Source organism: Homo sapiens, chromosome 12, assembly GCF_000001405.40.
Source record: "Homo sapiens chromosome 12, GRCh38.p14 Primary Assembly".
In the NCBI taxonomy this organism is placed as follows: Eukaryota; Metazoa; Chordata; class Mammalia; order Primates; family Hominidae; genus Homo; species Homo sapiens.
This window is the reverse complement of record NC_000012.12, coordinates 46,060,207-46,079,136: the sequence shown is the minus strand read 5'-3', so window position 1 is coordinate 46,079,136 and position 18,930 is coordinate 46,060,207. Positions and strand designations below refer to the sequence as shown.

Here is an 18,930-nt window from a genome sequence, read left to right as displayed (position 1 = left end):
TCCCGCCATGTAAGAAGCCTGCTCCTGCTTTGCCTTCCACCATGAGTAAAATTTCCCTGAGGCCTCCTCAGAAGCAGATGCCACTATGCTTCCCGTACAGATTGCAGAACTAGGAAGCCAATTTAACCTCTTTTTTGTATAAATTACCCAGTCTCAGGTATTTCTTTAGAGCAGTGCAACAATGGACTAATACAGAAAATTGATACTAAGGAGTGGGGCATTCATATATAAAAATACCTAAATATGTGGAAGCAGTTTTTGAATTGGGTAACTGGCAGAAGTTGGAATAATGTGGAGGTCTCAGAAGAAGACAAGAAGATGAGAGAAAATTTGGAACTTCCCAGAGACTTGTTAAATTGTTGTAACCAAAATGCTGATAGTGATAAGGACAATAAAGTCAAGGCTGATGAGGTCTCAGATGGAGATGAAGAACTTACGGAGAACTGCAGCAAAGGTCACTTTTGTTATGCATTAGCAAAGAACCTGAGAGCATTGTGCCCCTACCATAGGGTTCTGTGGAATTTTGAACTTGAGAGTGATGGTTTAGGGTATCTGGTGGAAGAAATTTCTAAGCAGCAAAGTGTTCAAGATGTGGCCTGGCTGCTTTTAACAGCCTATGCTCATATGCATGAGGAAAGAAATGACATAAAACTGAAACTTATATTTAAAGGAGAAGCAGAGCATAAAAGTTTTAAAAATTTGCAGCCTGGCCATGTGGTAGAAAAGAAAACCCATTTTCAGGGGAGGAATTCAAGCAGGCTACAGAAATTTGCACGAGTAAAAGGGAGCCAAATGCTAATAGCAAAGACAATGGGGAAAATGCCTCAGAGGCATTTCAGAGACCTTCATAGCAGCCCCTTCCATTACAAGCCCAGAGCCCTACGAGGGAAGAATGATTTCGTGGGCCACATCCAGGGCCCTGCTGCCCTGTGCAACCTTGGGACACTGCTCCCTGCATCCCAGCTCCTCCAGCTCCAGCTTTGGCTCCAAGGGGTACAGGTACAGCTAGGGTCACTGCTTCAGAGGGTGCAAGCCATAAGCCTTGGCAGCTTCCATGCAGTGTTACACCAGTGGGTGTGCAGAGTGCAACAGTTGCGGCTTGGGAGCCTCTGAGTAGATTTCAGAGGATGTAGGGAAAAGCCTGGATGTCCATGTAGAAGTCTGCTGCAGGGGCAGAGCCCTCATGGAGAATCTCTACTAGGGCATGCAGAGGGGAAATGGGGAATTGGGGCAGATTTCCCCCTTGGTGCTGTTCCCATGAAAGTGAGATCTCTCATGAGATCTGGTCATTCAAAAGTGTGTAGCACCTGCCTCCTCTCTCTCTTGGTCTTGCTCCTGCCATCTAAGAAGCCTTCTCCCACTTTGCCTTTGCCATTAGTAAAAGGTCCCTGAGGCCTCCCCAGAAGCAGATGTCACTATGCTTCTAGTACAGCCTGCAGAAGTGTGAGCCAATTGGACCTTTTTTCTTTATAAATTACCCTGTCTCGGGTATTTCTTTATAGCAGTGCAAGAACAGACTAATACAATTGATACAATATCAATTATTCTATAGCATCAAATCCTCCATAATAAAACATTTTTAATGCAATTACTAGCTTTCCTTTCCTAAGAAAACATGCAAAATGGTTGAAACACATTAGACACCTAAGGAAATAAGAAGTTTGAGTTTTCTCAGTTAAGTGCTGTTTTGTACTCAAGTATGTTCTCAATCATCATCTAAGTAAAGGATTCCTTCTAGCTCTTGCTTTTTCCTAAGTCACAAGGATGAATAACTGAAATAATATTTTTTAAAAGTTATTTGTATATGTATACATGTATATTCATATACATATATGTATACACATGTACATGTATATTCATATATATATACACATATATGTATATGTATATATATCCAATCCTCCATGTGATGTGAAGGCCTGACTATAGAATGCACCTGACTTGGGCAATGATGATTACAGAGTACCTTCATTGGTGTTTCACTACAAACTACAAAGAAAATATACAGTTTTCCAGAAATAACTTTGGATCCTCTCTCAACCAAAATATGAGGAAAACCTCTAAGAGTAGATCTTCCTATTACATTTGGGATGAATTCTTCCTTGTTTCATAAATTCCATGAAAGCATTTCAAAAATCTCTGTGATGTTTTATATGAAATTTAGCAGCATAAAATCTGGACTTCTAACATTTTACACACATTAACTAATTTAATCCTTTCGTCGATACTAAGAAGCAAGTGTTATTATTATCCCCATTATAAAGATTAGGAAAGAGAGAGAGGCTAAGGTTACCATACTAGAAAACAGTAGAGCCAGGATTTGAACCCAAATAGCTTGACTGCAGAATCTAAGCTCTTAGCCAGTTTTTCAACAAGGAGAGAAATTAGCCATGGCAATTATATCATCATTCACCCAGTGACCAGTCATGGCTGAGCAGGATGAGCACAGGAGCAGGAGATAATGTCGGCTTCAGAATGGCTATGTCATTCTCAGCAAGTTACTAAATCACTCTGAGTTTCAGTTTACTCCTCTATAAAATGCAGATCTCTAAGGTCTTTTCCAGTTCAAAAACTCTAATCTAATTGATGACAATTTTGATAAATGATATTTCTCTGTTTGCAAGTTTATTCCATTTCCAAGTTACATTCTCTCAACTTTGTCGATAGTGAATTATGTCTAAAGTTTATAGAAACAGATACCTCAGCAGGCTCTTTAGCAATATAGATCTGGCATTTATTGTACTTTATTTTTCTATATTTCCCCAAAATGTTCCAGTATTCTATTTTAATTCAGTATCTCTCATATCTATTTTTAAATTGCTATCAAAATAAATAGGAAGATAGCGTAGCCTTTTGGAAAGCTAAATGTACTTTCCCCAATTAACCTATACACAGCCATTGTAATCCTATTGTCTTTCAGTTAACATTTGAACTTCTAGTTCCCAGTTTTCACCATTTTACAAAGTATACAGAGCTCAACTTGAACTCTTTTTGGTGAGAAGTCTAGAATGCAAAGAGACACTGTTATCATGAATTTATTTTAAATTTCCTGCCTGCTGTTACCCAATGGCCTTTTAGGCATCACCAGATATTCTAAATAAACTCTATGAATTTATTCAGGAACTCGGGATACTTTGCACCACATAATTTAGACTGAATTTTACAATCTAAAAGGCAGCTTTTAATTTCCTGCTGTAATTTTTTACTTCTCTGGGTTTTTATTCCCATTGTTCTTTTTTCTTATATTTAAAGACTCACCTGAAAAGACCTAATGCAACATTTCACACTGCTATTCCATCACCTGCTCTGTTAATAAAGATATTAAGCCTGGAAAGAGCAATCCCACTCAAGCCCCAATTCCAGCTTCACATATTGTTTTTACTGTGCCCTCTTTATCTATAGATCCTGAGCCAGTTTTCATTGAATCGTTTCATTTAGTGATTGCTCATGTTTAAGTCTAATCTGAATTATTTAAAATTGCATGAATAATTGGCAAAGGATTTGATAATGTTCAAATATAACTGCCTTCCCACAAACGAGTGATTTTATAATTCTATCAAAACTGCAATTGGTTTTGTCAGAGCAATTTTTTTCATAGAACCCATTGCTTACTCCAAATTACAATTCCTATAGCTTTAGACATTTGCATCTTCTTTTAATGTTTCTGACATTATGTGGTGGTGCTGAAGTTAAACAGTTTTATTGCTGTCCTTCATGTTTAAATATGATGTTATACTACTCTATGTACAAGAACAGCTGAAAAGACTGAAAGTGGTCTGCAGTGTTTATCTGAATGTTACACACCAAATATTTATCAAATATTCTCTAATGGGCTGGGCACAGTGGCTCACACCTGTAATCCCAGCAATTTGGGAGGCTGAGGCGGGCGGATCACTTGAGGTCAGGAGTTCAAGACCATTCTGGCCAACATGGTGAAACCCCATCTCTACTAAAAATACAAAAATTAGCCCGGCATGATGGCACACGCCTGTAATCCCAGCTACTCAGGAGGCTGAGGCAGGAGAATGGCTTGAACCTAGGAGGCGGAGGTTGTAGTGAGCCAAGATTGCACCATTGCACTCCAGCCTGGGACTGAGCAAGAAAATAAAAATAAAAACAAAAACAAAAACAAAACATATATATATGTTCTCTAATGGGCACCACTACTTATGTGTTTGGTTTTCCTCTGGAGACAGCATGGAATTTATGCTGGACTTGAGCCACTCACATCTCCAATTACAGTATCTCAGCATAATCTTCCTGTTACTGTCAATTCCTAGTAATAACCTACTAGGTCCCATAATCCACACTGGTATTTTTGCTGAGACATTTGCATTTGGTTCTTACAACTGTGGGGTATCTTTTTGTCATAATAATTACTGCTGTTGTTACCATTTCATTGTCATTATAATCATCATCATCAGGCAATGTATTCTAAACTTTTCTATATGCTAGATTAAAAATGCACATATTACAGAGAAGGCTCATTTTCTGCTCTTGAAAGAAAATGAAATATTTTGGTAGATTTCTCTTACCACTAATCTTGTTTCACTGATAACTGTTAATACCATTTATTATTATGTGCCATATGCCAGTTTACTCAATTTACAAGCATTATTTTATCTAATCTTCAAAGGGGAAAATTTTCTCTGCACTTAACAGATGATCAGTTGAAATCCAGTGAAGGTAGGTAACTTCCTCAAGGCCACACAGCAGCGCATTGATGAAGCCACCCTTTAATTCTTATGGGTAAAGGACATGTAGGGAGAGAAGGGCTTCTGACCACAAGAGAGACAAGGGGAGGTGGAGTTCATATTATGTTGGTAGAATGAGTAGAGTATGAGGCAAATAGGAAGCTCAAGGAGGCGAGAGAAAGGAAAATCTCCTTAGTGGACTGAAGGAGAGCTAGCAGGGAAGGACAAAGGAAGGAGTAACATTGTTATAAAGGTCATTAGTTCATTAATGTAAAAATCCCTCTTGGTGTTATTTAATACTTTCATCTTGTTTCAAAATTCATCTGATTTTAATGCAACAATTATACTGAATGGGCTGAGCTTAGTAGAATACAATTATAAAACACATTTATACTATGTCACCACTCCTCAGTGAACTTGCTCCATCAAACAGACCATTCCTTGCCCTTGGGTGAAATCTTGGACAAGTCTCACAGTTCTTTAGATCACTTGTAGGTAACACATAAACTGTCTTTTTGTTTTTGACATTTAGAGACCCAATCCAGTGTGATAATGAGAACTCCAAACTCCATCTTACTTAGTTTTTTCCTTCTGCAGGCTTGGGTCAGCTCTAGTCATGAAAGTCTGCAATAGGTCATAGAGACGTGGTCAACTTCTCCCTCATTTGCTCACTTTCTTGCTTCAGGGCTAGGTCTGTAGAAAAGGGACTTGGTATTGTCTACTGGTAGTATCGCGATCTAGATGTTCCAAGCTGACTCTTCAATGCTGTGGGTTTCTCAGAGATACCCACAGTGGAAATGTCCCACTGTTGATCCCTTGATATCAGCTGGCTGCTTTCGACACTTCCTTCAGTCCTGGGCTCCAATGAGGTGGGGGCCATCATCCTTCCCACGAGTCCTTTAGGACTAGTGTTTTTCTCAAACAGCTGAAAAATTATACAGTGTATTCCTGTTGTTAGTGGTTTCCCTTATTATTTTAACATTCATATTTTTAAGATCAGCTCTAACAATGTCTAGCATGAGTCAGAATCTGTATCCACTAAACAATCTTAAGAATCATAACAACATTTTACTGCCCTCTGCACTCAACCAATTCACCCATGTTGACTTAAATTTTCTTGGATTTTAATTACTGATTGTAATTAACCTTTTACAATTTATGCTAGTTTCCAGGGTACAAGACCAATTTTTTTTTGAGGCGGAGTCTCTCTCTGTCACCAGGCTGGAGTGCAGTGGTGTGATCTCCACTCACTACAGCCTCTGCCTCCTGGGTTCAAGCGATTCTCCTGCCTCAGCCTCCCGAGTAGCTGGGGTTGCAGGTGCGCACCACCACACCCAGCCAATTTTTGTATTTTTAGTAGGGCTGGGGTTTCGCCATGTTGGCCAGGATGATCTCGATCTTCTGACCTCATGATCCACCCACCTCAGCCTCCCAAAGTTCTAGGATTACAGGCGTGAGCCACCGCACCCGGAACAAGACCAATTTTATAATTTTGTTTTCCTAAACAAATGACCATCTTCCTCTGGATTCCACATACTTTCTTTACTTTGAAGAATTCCTAAAAGCAGATTGGGGTGGTTATCATTGGGAGAAGCAGACAGCACAGTGGGCAAGACCTCTGTGGCTAAGCTCACTGCTCTTCACTGCGGGCTGAGAAGGAGCATTTTTTTTACCTTCCTTTGTTTTCTGACCTGCTGTCATCTGAACATGGTCTTGGCTACTGTTCAAGCCCCTACACCCTACCCCACTTCTTATTCTTTATTTTACTCTCCAGCACTTCCTGTTATTTATTTAATGATTTTAATGTAGAATTCATGGAGGTAGGGAGTTTATTTGTGTGTTTCACTGCAGTCATAAAGCACTTCTCACTCCTAGCCCGGATCCATGAGTTACCTGCCTCAGTCATTGCCCTTAGATAAAGTAAGAAGTTACTTGGTCCATTGTGCCTTAAGGCTCTGGATACTTTGAGATCCTGCTTGTCCCCCTCCACATGGTCAGGCAGAACAGTACTTCCTTATGGTCTATTGCCACCCTGTCTATTGCTTTCACTTCTTAGCTGCCAGTAATTCTCCAGGCGGTTGGAGGAGATGGTGCCTTTTTGGGCTCCCCAATCTCGGGCTCTGGCATCCTCTAGTGGCCATTGACAGCCATGCAACTTCAGCACTGAGTTCCGGGCCTTTGCCTCCTGGCTTCCTCCCAGGTCTCATTGGTAACAATCCAACTGCAGGAGAAAAGATAAAATTGAAAAGGCGAACTCAGCACACTCTCTTCCCATCACCTCCAACATTGTCCCTTCCCCTGCTAGCACTCCTGAAGAAATTCTCAGGCAACTTGGAGACACGCCAATCTTCCTGATTTAGAAGTGTTTGTATCTGGTTTTCAGGCAAGGCACAGAGGGCTGTCTTCTAGGTCTGGAATTTACGGAGGAAGCTGAAGGTGAATAGTGCCTCCCTTTAGCAGTGGACAGACAGGAAACCTCTCTGGCTCCATAGAAGCATTAAGCTGCAGGTTCAGAGTCCCTATCAAATGACACGACTACCAACACTATCTGAAGACTTGCCAGGGAATGTGTGTGTCAGTGACCTTTATCTGCAGGTCAGGTGCCTCCACCTAATACTAAAAGGAGACTATTTAGCTGTGAGGTTTTAGTTCCCAGAAGGACTCCAGTGGGACTTAGTGGGAGGAGGAGGTCATGCATGTTGTTAATAGCTTGGACTTGCCTTTTCTCCAAAGGGCCCCATCTGCTCCTTGCCCAGTGCTCCAGCCACAGGGAATGGTATTCCACCTTCTCGTGGCCGTGGGGTTAGTCGGGGGAACTTCTTCTAAGTAGGTAATTAGAGACTCAGATGCTGGGCAGATCTGCACCTCACATGACAAAGGATGCCATCACGGGAAGAGGAGGGCCTGCTCTTGCCACCCTGTGGCAAGTCAGGGCAAGTCAACAGCAAGTCAAAAGCTCATGACCAGTGATCTCCTAGAACAGAGAGTGGCAAAGTGTGGCCTGTGGGTCAAACCCAGCCTGCCTCCCATTTTTGTATGGTCCGTGAGCTAAGACTGCTATTTACAATTTTAAGTCATTGAAGAAAATCAAAAGAAGAATAAAACTTCATGATGCATGAAAATTATATGAAATTGAAATGTCCAAGTCCATAAATAAGGTTTTACTGGGACACAGCCAAACTGATTTGTTTATACATTGTCTACAGATGCTTTAGTATCACAGTGTCAGAACTGAATAGCTGCAGCGGAGACCACAGGATCTACAAAACCCAAAAGATTTTCTCTCTGGCCCTTGATAGAAAAAATTTGCTAACCTTTTCCCTGTAAGACGCGTGCCCTTGAATTCATCACAGACTTTGAGGGGACCTGATTGGATGAAGTAAAGAATTCATTCTGGAGCCTCATAGAGAATGAGTTTACATTGTGAAGGCCCTAACTGAAGATCTTGTATTTAATCCATTAGTCCTTGGGGAGCCTTCAAAGTTGGTGCCAAGATAAAAGCAGCACATTCTAGAGAATGGCATCAATGGGTGGGAAGAACTGAATGAGAGGAGAATTCTAAGGTAGGGATACCAGTGGTGAGGCATAAGTGTTGAGAGCTTAAAGAGTGTCCAGGAAGAGGAAGAACTGGTTAGTGGTAGAATGCTGGGACAATGGCAGAGGGGAGCAGACAGGCTGTGATCAAAGAAGTAGAGAAAAGGAAGCTGAAGCCATACACAGAATGTAGTCATGAGACACAAAGAGCCTGTGTCTGTGAGACATCAGAACACTTCCAAGGGTAATGAGACTTTGCCAGCTGGCATCACTCGTAACCCAGAGGATCTTGCAGGTAGATTTACTTTTGCTTTCCACTAGCATCTTTAAACATACAATTTAGCACCTGACAGATTATGGACAGGGAGCAAAGAGAAGTAGTTTGAGATTGATGGGCATCATTATGCAAAATCATAGGTAGAAATGGCTGGGGAGCTCTCTAATTCAATAAGTCTCTTCCTAATCCCCCCGAAGTAATAAAGCTTCTGCCCAGACACCTCTGGGCTCCTTGCCATACTTTTCCATTGGATTAACATTTACTGGCATGATCAGAGTTATTAAAGGGAGAAAATCATCATAATTTTCCAAAGACAATAAGGCTCCATAAGTGTTCGTATAAAATTATGTCAGAAGATATTCTATTATTTCAGCTTTGAGAAGTTATATGAGAAAATATTTTCACTGCAGGAAAGGGGAAAACCTTGAAGCTATTTTTTTTAAAGAAAGTACATTGCAAAATGAAAATAACTTCATGATACTGCTTGAAGTTGATATGGGGTAGTATTTCCACTACTCAGAGCTCATTCTCAGTTTGTAAACGTCTTAGCAATTATGAGGTCCAAATTAAACTTTGAGTTTAAGACTTCAGCGAAGTGAACCTCAATGGAAACTATAATTGATTTTTATCTTTCACATTTTTGTTTTAGCATAGACAGATTTTCTACAAGAGTGGTCTGGCCAGCAGTGGTGGCTCACCACCTGTAATCCCAGCATTTTGGGAGGCCAAGGTGGAAGGACCACTTGAGGTCACAAGCTCAAGATCAAGGGTGCTTTAACAGCAGCTTAGATCTTTGTAACAGACATAGATGGGATTTTTTAATAACAATCCATTGTTATAAAATAGTTGCATAGCGTAAATTTGGGATAAGTTCCTAAGATTTTTGTATGTTTTTCTCTTAACACTGTCAAATTTCTCACACAACAATTAGCTCATCAATGTCCTTCTATAGGACTTACTCTCCTAAAATATTTTTTAAATGATGTTATATTGAAGTCTATAAAACACGAAGACTTTCTGAGATTTTTAGCCATAAAGAAACAACAATGTCCATAGCATATCCAATGCTATACTAAGAGCAATGACCAGGATGTGATTAAGACTTTCAGAACACCTAAACTCCATCCGATGTAAAAGGCTGCAAATGGCTTTTAAAACCATTATTTTCAGAGGAAATTCTTAACATGAAAACTTAAACATTTTAACTGTATGAACAGAAATAACACACTGAAAAAAGTAAAGAGAGAAAAATTTAAAAATAGGAAAGATATATGAATAAAGGTTTAAAATAGAGAAGACTGGGCCACTCTTCTTGTTCTTTCTGTCTTTGCCTCTCCCTGCATTAAATTATTCACATAAATTCTCCTTCCCTGCAAGAAGCTGTCAATGAAGTTCTTGGTTTCTGGCTCCAGTTGGTGGCTATTGCTTAAAATGCAGTATTGTCTTTGGGAAAAAAAGCAGTCAGATAAAGTAAATAAATGATAATTGCCAAGATAATCTATAGGAATTTGAGAGTTCTTAGAAGAGCATTTTATCCAGGCTATTATTTCAAAACAATATAACACACCTAAACAGAGAAAATAAATAATAGCAGAAGTGTTAAGTGTTCAAACTTTGGGGTCAGAGGGTTTTATTCTGAATTCTGCCACTTCCTAGTTTACTCGAATGAATGAGTTAACCTCTCTAAGCCACAGACTCATAATTTATAATATAGGAATAATATTATAATGAATTAAATTGTATTCACATGTCACATGTAAGTAAACATATATATTAATATTAATGCTGCCTTATAGGATTGTTTAGAGGACTAACTGAAGTACAACAATAATGTTTAACATGGCATTTTGCACATAAGCACACAATAAATATAAATTATTATTAGATTTATGCTTCTAACAACATCGTCTTCTAAAGTGTAACAATGAAGCAACTGGCTACTTTTGCATGATAACAAGGTTTTGACTCCAATTTTAATAATAAACACTACAATTTTCAAGTATCAATTCTGCACCTGGTGCCCTATATACTGCATCTCATTTAATTCTCGAAGAACTCCACTATATTAGTCTGTTCTCACACTGCTATGAAGAAATACCTGAGACTGGGTAATTTATAAAGTAAACAGGTATAATTGACTCACAGCTCCACATTGCTGGGGAGGCCTCAGGAAACTTACAGTCATGGTGGAAAGAAAAGGAGAAGCAAGGACCTTTTTCACAGGGTGTCAGGACAAAGTGAGCAGGGGAAGCAGGGGAAATGCCAGATGCTTATAAATCCATCAGATCTCATGAGACTCATGCACTGTCATGAGAACAACATGGGGGAAACCTCCCCCATGATCCAATTACCTCCACCTGGTCCTGCCCTTGATACATAGGGATTGTGGAGATTACGGGGATTACAATTCAAGGTTAGATTTTGGGTGGAGACACAACCAAACAATATCATCCACTGAATAAGTATTATCATTCTCACTGTATAAATTAGAACCCTGAACTCTAAGAAGTTAAATAACTTTCTCAGAGTTTCACGGGTTGATACTGTAAAAACTGGAATTAAATTCAGAGAGCTCTGATTTCATAGTCCATGTTATAGGACAAAGATAGCAGATAGGTTTTAATTCAAATTTCAAATTGGGAACACAAAAAAAAATCCATCAAAAGTCATGTCAAAAGGATTTAGAATAGCATTTGAGAGGGCTCATACTGGCCAAAAATGACAATCTCAGCATCAAAAACAATAATGGCTACCATAGTTTAAACACATAAAATGTATTAAAAATCAAGGGTGTATTTTAATTCTCTTATTTTTAAAAAATTCACTTCACATTTTTTGGAAGCTACTATGGCACCAGCTCATTATTCTGAAAACTTGTGAATAAAGGGGGAAAATAAGCATTTATTTTGCTTTTTCACTTTGAGTGAATGCGGTATCTATTTCCCCTGAAAATATCCACGGGAAAGCATTCCAGGCAAGTGAATATGCCTGGCATATTCAAGAAACAGCAGCGGGGCCATGTGGCTGGACCCTCAGAAAAAAAGGAGAGAGTATTGTGAGATGACGTCAGAAGGCAAATCGGGGTGGGAGTTCGTGTAGAGCCTTTTGGGCCATTATAAGATTTTTGGCTTTTACTTTGAGGGTAATAGGGAGCTATTGCAGGGTTTTGAATACGGAAATAACACAATTCAACTTGTAGGTTAATAGCGTCACTCTGCTGTGCTGAGTCTAGGCTGGGCGTGGGTGCGGGGCGGAATGTGAAAGCAGAGAGTTCAGTTAGGAGGTTTAATATAGTTTGGATGTTGTCTCCACCCAAATCTCATGTCGAAATGTCATCCACAATGTTAGAGGTAGGGCCTCTTGGGAGATGACTCAATTATAAGGGTGGATTTCCCCCTTGGTACTGTCGTTGTGATAGTGAGTGACCTCTCTTGAGATCTTGTCATTTAAAAGTGTTTAGTATCTTCCCCCCTCATTTGCTGGCTCCTGCTTTTGCCATGTGAAGTGCCTGCTCCCGTTTTGCCTTCCGCCCTGGGTAAAAGCTCCCTGAGGCCTCCCCAGAAGCAGATGCTTCCATGCTTCCTGTACAGCCTGCAGAACCGTGAGTCAATTAAACCTCCATAAGGCTTTTTATGACCCCAATAAGGGCAGCTTTAGTGGCATGGTGAAGGTGAAAGGCTGATTAGAGAGGGTTCAAGAGTGAAGGAGAGGAGAGAAACTTCTGTTTGATTTGGTTTGGTTGTTTGTTTTCACGATTGGAGAAATAATGTCATGCTTATATTAGAAACATGAGAAACATACAGAAGAGAGAGAAAGAAATTATCAGTGTGGGAGAAGGAGGAGGAAAGTTGCTAGAGTGATGTCATTGGGTAGGCAATAGTGGATGGAAAAGGTTGGCTCTTGGTTTTTGACATGCTTTCCTCACTAAGCTTCATCATTTCTGGTTTTTCATTTAAAGCAAGAGACATGTGAGTCTTCCTTTCACTTGAATACTTAGAAATGCCATCGTAGTGATATTAATTGGCCTAATTTCAACAGTGTGTCTCAGGTAACAGAGAGGTCTCAGAAGGAGAGAGATGAGGGAACAGCGGGTCAGTAGAGAAGTCAGAACCCCCACAATATTCATCACTTAATTTCCCTTTTATATAGGCATCGTTTGTAGCACGTCAAAACAATTACAATAGTAATATCAAAGATGACTAATCACAGATTACCATAATAGACATAATAATAATTAAAAAGTTGAAAATATTGCAAGAATTACCACAATGAGACACAGAGACACAAAGTGAGCACATGCTGTTGGTAAATGGCACCAATAGACTTGCTCGATGCAGGGTTACCACAAAATTTCACTTTGCAAATATATATATAATAACTACAAAGTGCAATAAGATGAAATGCAATTAAATGAGGTATCCCTGTATAATTTGCAATATTCGGGTTATACTTGTACTAAGAAATGATTCATTGTTTCTCTGAAATGCAAATTTGGCTACGGGTTTTATATTTTTATTTGCTACACACTGCAATCCTAACTAAAAGAGGTAGCAGGTCTGCTCTCACTCATCCCTTGCCTTCTTACCCTACTGCATTCCTACTACCTCACCTATATTATTCTGCCAATATGAGTAATTGTCAGAAAGGCAGGTAGGCCACAGGAGGAAGTGAAAGAGGGAGAGACAGATGAGAGAGCAAGAGAAGAGAGAGGGAGGAGAGTGGGAAAAGAAGAGAGGAAGGAAATCAGAGGGAAGGAAAAGAAAAAGACAGAGGAAGAGACCCAAGATGAGAAATGATATGACAGCTATGAGGAACTGAAAGAAATCTAGTATGGCTGGAGTGGAGTGATCAAGGGAAGAGTATTAGGAGATATGGCTAGAGAGAAAGCAAAGGAGAACTGACCAGCTATACCCAGAAGTCACATGGATGCCATTGTGAACATGTCTAAGGTCACAGTTGCTTCCTGTTTGTGTCTGGTAAATTATTGCTAATAAAGTCTACCATAGCTGCTGAGAGCAGGGCTCCCAGAGCACTCACCACTGTGGAGCCTCTTCTGGGCACTATCACACGTGAGCTACTAATGCCTAGGTCCACAAAGAGACAGCTGGAAGATCTCATCTGCCCGCATCACCTGTGAATGCATCCTTATGTGGTAAGTAAACTCAATAGCTTTCTTAAATAAAAACTTTTTTGCTTTAGAAGAGTTTCAGACTTACAGAATAGTTGCAAAAATAGCACAGAGTTTCCCCATGCCCCCTACAGAGATTCCCCTTTTGTTAACATCTTACATTTGTATGATACGTTTGTCACAACTAATGAACCAATATTGATACATTATTATTAATGAAAGTCCATACTTCATCCTGATTCCCTTAGTTTTTACCTAATGTCCTTTTTTAATTCCAGGATATAATATTACATTCATTCGCCAGACGCGGTGGCTCATGCCTGTAATCCCAGCACTATGGGAGGCCGAGGTGAGCGGATCATGAGGTCAGGAGATCGAGACCGTCCTGGCTAACACGGTGAAACCCCATCTCTACTAAAAAAAAAAATACAAAAAATTAGCCGGGCGTGGTGGCGGGCACCTGTAGTACCAGCTACTCAGGAGGCTGAGGCAGGAGAATGGCGTAAACCCAGGAGGCGGAGCTTGCAGTGAGACGAGATCACGCCACTGCACTCCAGCCTGGGTGACAAAGCAAGACTCCATCTCAAAAAAAAACAAAAAACAAAAAAAACACAATACATTTATTTATTTATTTATTTTAGAGACAGGGGCCTCACTATGTTGCCCAGGCTGGTCTCAAACTCATGGCCTCAAGCGATCCTCCCACCTTAGCCTTCCTAGGCACTGGGACTACAGGAATGAGCCACTGTGCCCAGCACCATCCCACATTTAGTCATCTTGTTTCCTTAGTCTCCTCTAAACAATGACAGTTTCTCAGACTTTGCTTCTTTTGAACAATCTTCACAGTTTGAGGAGGACCAGTGAGGTATTTTGTAGAATGTCCCTTGGGGTTTTTCTCATGACTGGACAGGGATTTATGAGTTTGGGGGAGAAAGACCATGAAAGTAAAGTACGATTCTCATTACACCATATCAAGGGTATGTATTTATGAACATGATTATTATCACTGTTGGTGTTGACCTTGATCACCTCTCTGAGGTAATGTTTGTCAGGTTTCCCCGTTGTGAGATTACTCGCTTTTCCCCTTTTTCATACTGTATTTTTGTAAAGGAAGTAACTATGCACAGGCCAGACATGGTGGCTCGCGCCTGTAATCCCAGCACTTTGAGAGGCTGAAGCGGGTGGATCACCTGAGGTCATGAGTTCGAGACCACCTTTGCCAACATGGTGAAACCCCGTCTGTATGAAAAATACAAAATTTAGCTGGCATAGTTAATCCCAGCTACTCAGGAGGCTGAGGCAGGAGAATCGCTTGACTCCGGGAGGTGGAGGTTACAATGAGCCAAGATCCCGCCACTGCACTCCAGGCTGGGCGACAGAGTGAGATTCCATCTCAAAAAAAGAAAAAAAAAAAGGAAGTAATTATGTACAGCCCACACTTCAGAGGTGGGAAGTTATGCTTTGCCTCCTTGACAGCAGAGTATTTACATAAATTATTTGCAATGAGCCTGCACAAAAAATTTGTATATTCTCCCTCATTTTATTCAATCATTTCTTTATAACGATATGGCCTCATAGATATTTATTTTATAGTTTGGGTTAGAATCCAGTACTATGTTATTTCATGACTCATATTGTTCCAGTTTTGGCCATTGGGAGCTCTTTCAGTTGGCCCCAGTGTCCCTTTGATATACCCCATTGTGTGGTTTTTATTTCAATAAGCACTTCCTTGCCTTCTGGCATTACAGGATGCTACAGGATCATCCTATATAGTCCCAGATCCAGCTCTAGAATAATCTATTTCACTAAGGAGCTGGTTCCTTCATGGAACAGTCTTAGAAGCCAAGATCTGGGTGCTGGGTGTGTTAATTTCTTGTGGGGTGTAATTGCTTCTGGGCCCTCTTAGCTGACAGAGCAAGGGAAAATATGTGTGTGTACTAACCCACTTATATACACATATTTATAAATAGTTCCGTATGTATCAATCTGTATGGATGTTAAGCTAAATATGAGTTTATACAGATTAATCCTTGACCACGTGGATCATTTCAGCCTTTGCCTCCCTGCTGTCTGTAACCTTCCACTCCAACAATCAGAAATCTTTGTTCCCATCCATCATTCATTTACATAATTCCAGTATACATTTATAGTGACTTCAGAAATGTTAACTCAGTCCAGCATGAGAAATTACTTTACCAAGTAGAGTGTGATGCTCAGGTACAGTTCTTTTGCTGTCAGTCTTAGTCTCCACTCATTCCAAAGCGAGGTTAGTATCTCCTCCCTCCCCATTCCCTAAAATATAGTTTATTTTTTTCTCACAGCCTGCATTCTATCCTAAGATCCCAACCACAAAAATGATTTTTTTAATTGCTAAACTAAGGTTCACTGTTTATGCTGTAAAGTTCTATGAGTGGGTTTTAACCTATACATAATGTCATGTATCCACTATTATAATGCCATGCATAATCATCACCACATTAAAAGATCCCCTGTCTTTCACCAATTCAGCCCTCCCCACTCCAAAAACTTCTGGCAACCACTGATCTGTTAACCATCTCTATAGGTTTCCCTTTCCAAAATGTCATACAGATTGAATTATACAGTATGTTGCCTTTTTCAGACTAGCTTTTCTTTTTCTTAGCAACATGCATTTAAAATTCACCCATTTTGTGGGGGTTGATAGCTCATTCCTTTTTATAGCTGAAGAGTATTTCATTTTATGGATATACAGTTTGTCTATGCACTCCCCTATTCAATGACATATTAATTACTTGCAGTTTTTGACAATTATGGATAAACCTGCTATAAACATTGCAGGTTTTTGTGTGAACATAATTTTCAGATCAGTTTGGTAAATACCTAAGTGCAAGATTGCAGCATCACATGGAAAGACTATGTTTAGCTTTGTAAGAAACTGCCCAATTTTCTTCCAAAGTGGCTGCATTATTTTGCATTCCTACCAGCAATGAGTGAGAATTCCTCTTGCTCTGCATCCTTGCCATCGGTTAGTATTGTAATTTTTTTAAAATTTAGCCATTCTAGTAAGTGCATAGTGGTATCTCATTTCTTTTAATTTGCAATGATAAATGATGTTGGGCATCTTTCCATATACAGATGGTCCCCAACTTAGGATGGTTTGCCTTATAATTTTCAACTTTACAATGGTGGGAAAATGACACATATTCACTGAAAACTGTACTTGGAGTTCCCATACAGCCATTCTGTTTTTCACGTTCAGTACAGTATTCAACAAATTCCATGAGATATTGAACACTTCATAATAAAATAGGTTTTGTGTTAGATAATTTTTCCCAATTGTAGGCTAGTGTAGATGTTGTCAGCAGATTTAAGGTAGGCTGGGCTAAGCTATGATGTTCAATAGGTTAGGTATATTAAGTGCATTTTTTTTACTCACGGTATTTTCAACAACAGATTTATCAAGAGGTAACCCCATTGTAAGTTTAGGGCATATGTATTGATTTGCCATCTATATATCTCCTTTGGTGAGGTGTCTGTTCAGATATTTTGCTAATTCTTCTATTGAGGTAAAATTCACATAACATAAAATTCACAGTTTTAATCATTTAAAGTGTAGAATTTAGTGGTTTTAAGTGCATTTGTAATGTTGTACAGTCATCATCAGTGTCTAACTCCAGAACATTTTTATCACCCACAAATGAGATAGCATACTCATTAAGCAGTTACTCCCTAGTCTATCTTCTCCCCAGCCCCTGGTAAGCATTAATCTGTGCTCTGTCTCTATTTTGAATATTTACTATAAATGGAATCATACAATATGTGTCTTTTGTGTCTGGCTTTTTTCACTTAGCACGTTTTCAAGGTTCAACCATGTCACAGCATGGATCGATAATTCATCTACTGATGAATGGATAAAAATTATAGCATATTCATTCAATGTGATATTTTTCAGCCACAAAATGCAATGAATTACTGGGTTGTTTCTACTTTTTTGGCTATTATGAATAATGCTGCTATGAATATTTGTGTATGTCTTTGTATGAATATATGTTTTCAATTTTTAGGGTATATATCTAGGAGTGGAAATGCTGAGTAATATGGTAATGCTATGTTTAACTTTTTGACGAACTGCTAAATTGTTTTTCCCAGTAACTGTACTATTGTACACTCCCACCAGGAATGTATGAGGGTTCCAATTTCTCTAGACCTTTGCCCACACTTAATTTTTTCTGTTTTTGTTTTTATATAGCCATCCTAAAGTGTATGAATTGGTATATCATTATCATTTTGATTTGCATTTTTCCAATAACCAATGCCATTAAGTATCTTTTCATGTGCGTACTGGCGATTTGTATATCTTATTTGGAGAAATGTCTCTTCAGATCCTTTGCCTATTTATTAATAAAGATGCCTTTTTGTTGAGTTCTAAAATTTCTTTATATATTAAATATACTAGAACCTTATCAGATATGATTTGCAAATATTTTCTTCCATTCTATGGGTTGTCTTTTTATTTTATTGATAGTGCACAAAAGTTTTTAATTTTGATAAAGTTCAATTTTTATCTATTTTTTTGTTTTGTTGCTTGTGATTTGGTGTCATGTCTAAGAATTCATTGCCAAATCCAAGGTCATGAAGATTTACTCCTAGGTTTTCTTCTGAAAGTCTTATAGCATTAACTTTTACACACATCTTGGATTAATTTTGAGTTCATTTTTGTACATGGCGTGAGGATCCACTTTTTTGCATATGGATATACAGTTGTCCAAGCATCATTTGTTGGAATGACTACTCTTTCCCTCATTGAATGATCTTGGCACCCTTGTCAAAAATCAATTGGCCATAGTTGTATGGGTTTATTTCTGGATTCATAATTCTAGTCCATTGGTCTCTATTTATCCTCATGCCAGCACCTGTAGCTTTACACTAAGTTTGAAATGCTTAGTCCTCTACTTGTTCTTCTTTTTCAATATTGTTTCAGCTATTCAGGGTCCCTTGCGATTCCATATGAATTTTAGGATCAGCTTGCTTGCTTTTGCAATAAAAGGCAGATTCTAGAGGTATTGTATTCAATGCATAGATTACTTTGGAAAGTGTGATGATTTTAACAATATGAAGTTTTTTAATCCAACACATAGTAGGCATTTCTGTTTAATTTATTTAATGTCTTTCAGCAATACTTTATAGTTCTCATTGTACAAGTTGCACCTCCTTGGCTAAATTTGTTCTAATGTATTTTGTTCTTTTTGATGCTAGTGTAAATGAACTGTTTTCTTAATTTCTATTCAGATTTGTCACTGCTAGGTTATAGAAATAAG

The 18,930-nt window shown here is 39.0% G+C and overlaps 3 annotated features.

The window, feature by feature from the left end:
- Positions 6,650–6,699: an enhancer, noted in NCBI's record as "active region_6235". NCBI's record gives its function as "activates an Ori minimal core promoter by ATAC-STARR-seq in GM12878 lymphoblastoid cells {active_cell/tissue: GM12878}" and the evidence as "EXISTENCE:reporter gene assay evidence [ECO:0000049][PMID:35858748]".
- Positions 6,896–8,095: an enhancer, noted in NCBI's record as "MED14-independent group 3 enhancer chr12:46464825-46466024 (GRCh37/hg19 assembly coordinates)". NCBI's record gives its function as "activates an origin of replication core promoter dependent on BRD2, BRD4, P300/CBP and CDK7 cofactors, and independent of MED14, by STARR-seq in HCT116 cells {active_cell/tissue: HCT116}" and the evidence as "EXISTENCE:reporter gene assay evidence [ECO:0000049][PMID:35650434]".
- Positions 7,491–7,710: an enhancer, noted in NCBI's record as "active region_6234". NCBI's record gives its function as "activates an Ori minimal core promoter by ATAC-STARR-seq in GM12878 lymphoblastoid cells {active_cell/tissue: GM12878}" and the evidence as "EXISTENCE:reporter gene assay evidence [ECO:0000049][PMID:35858748]".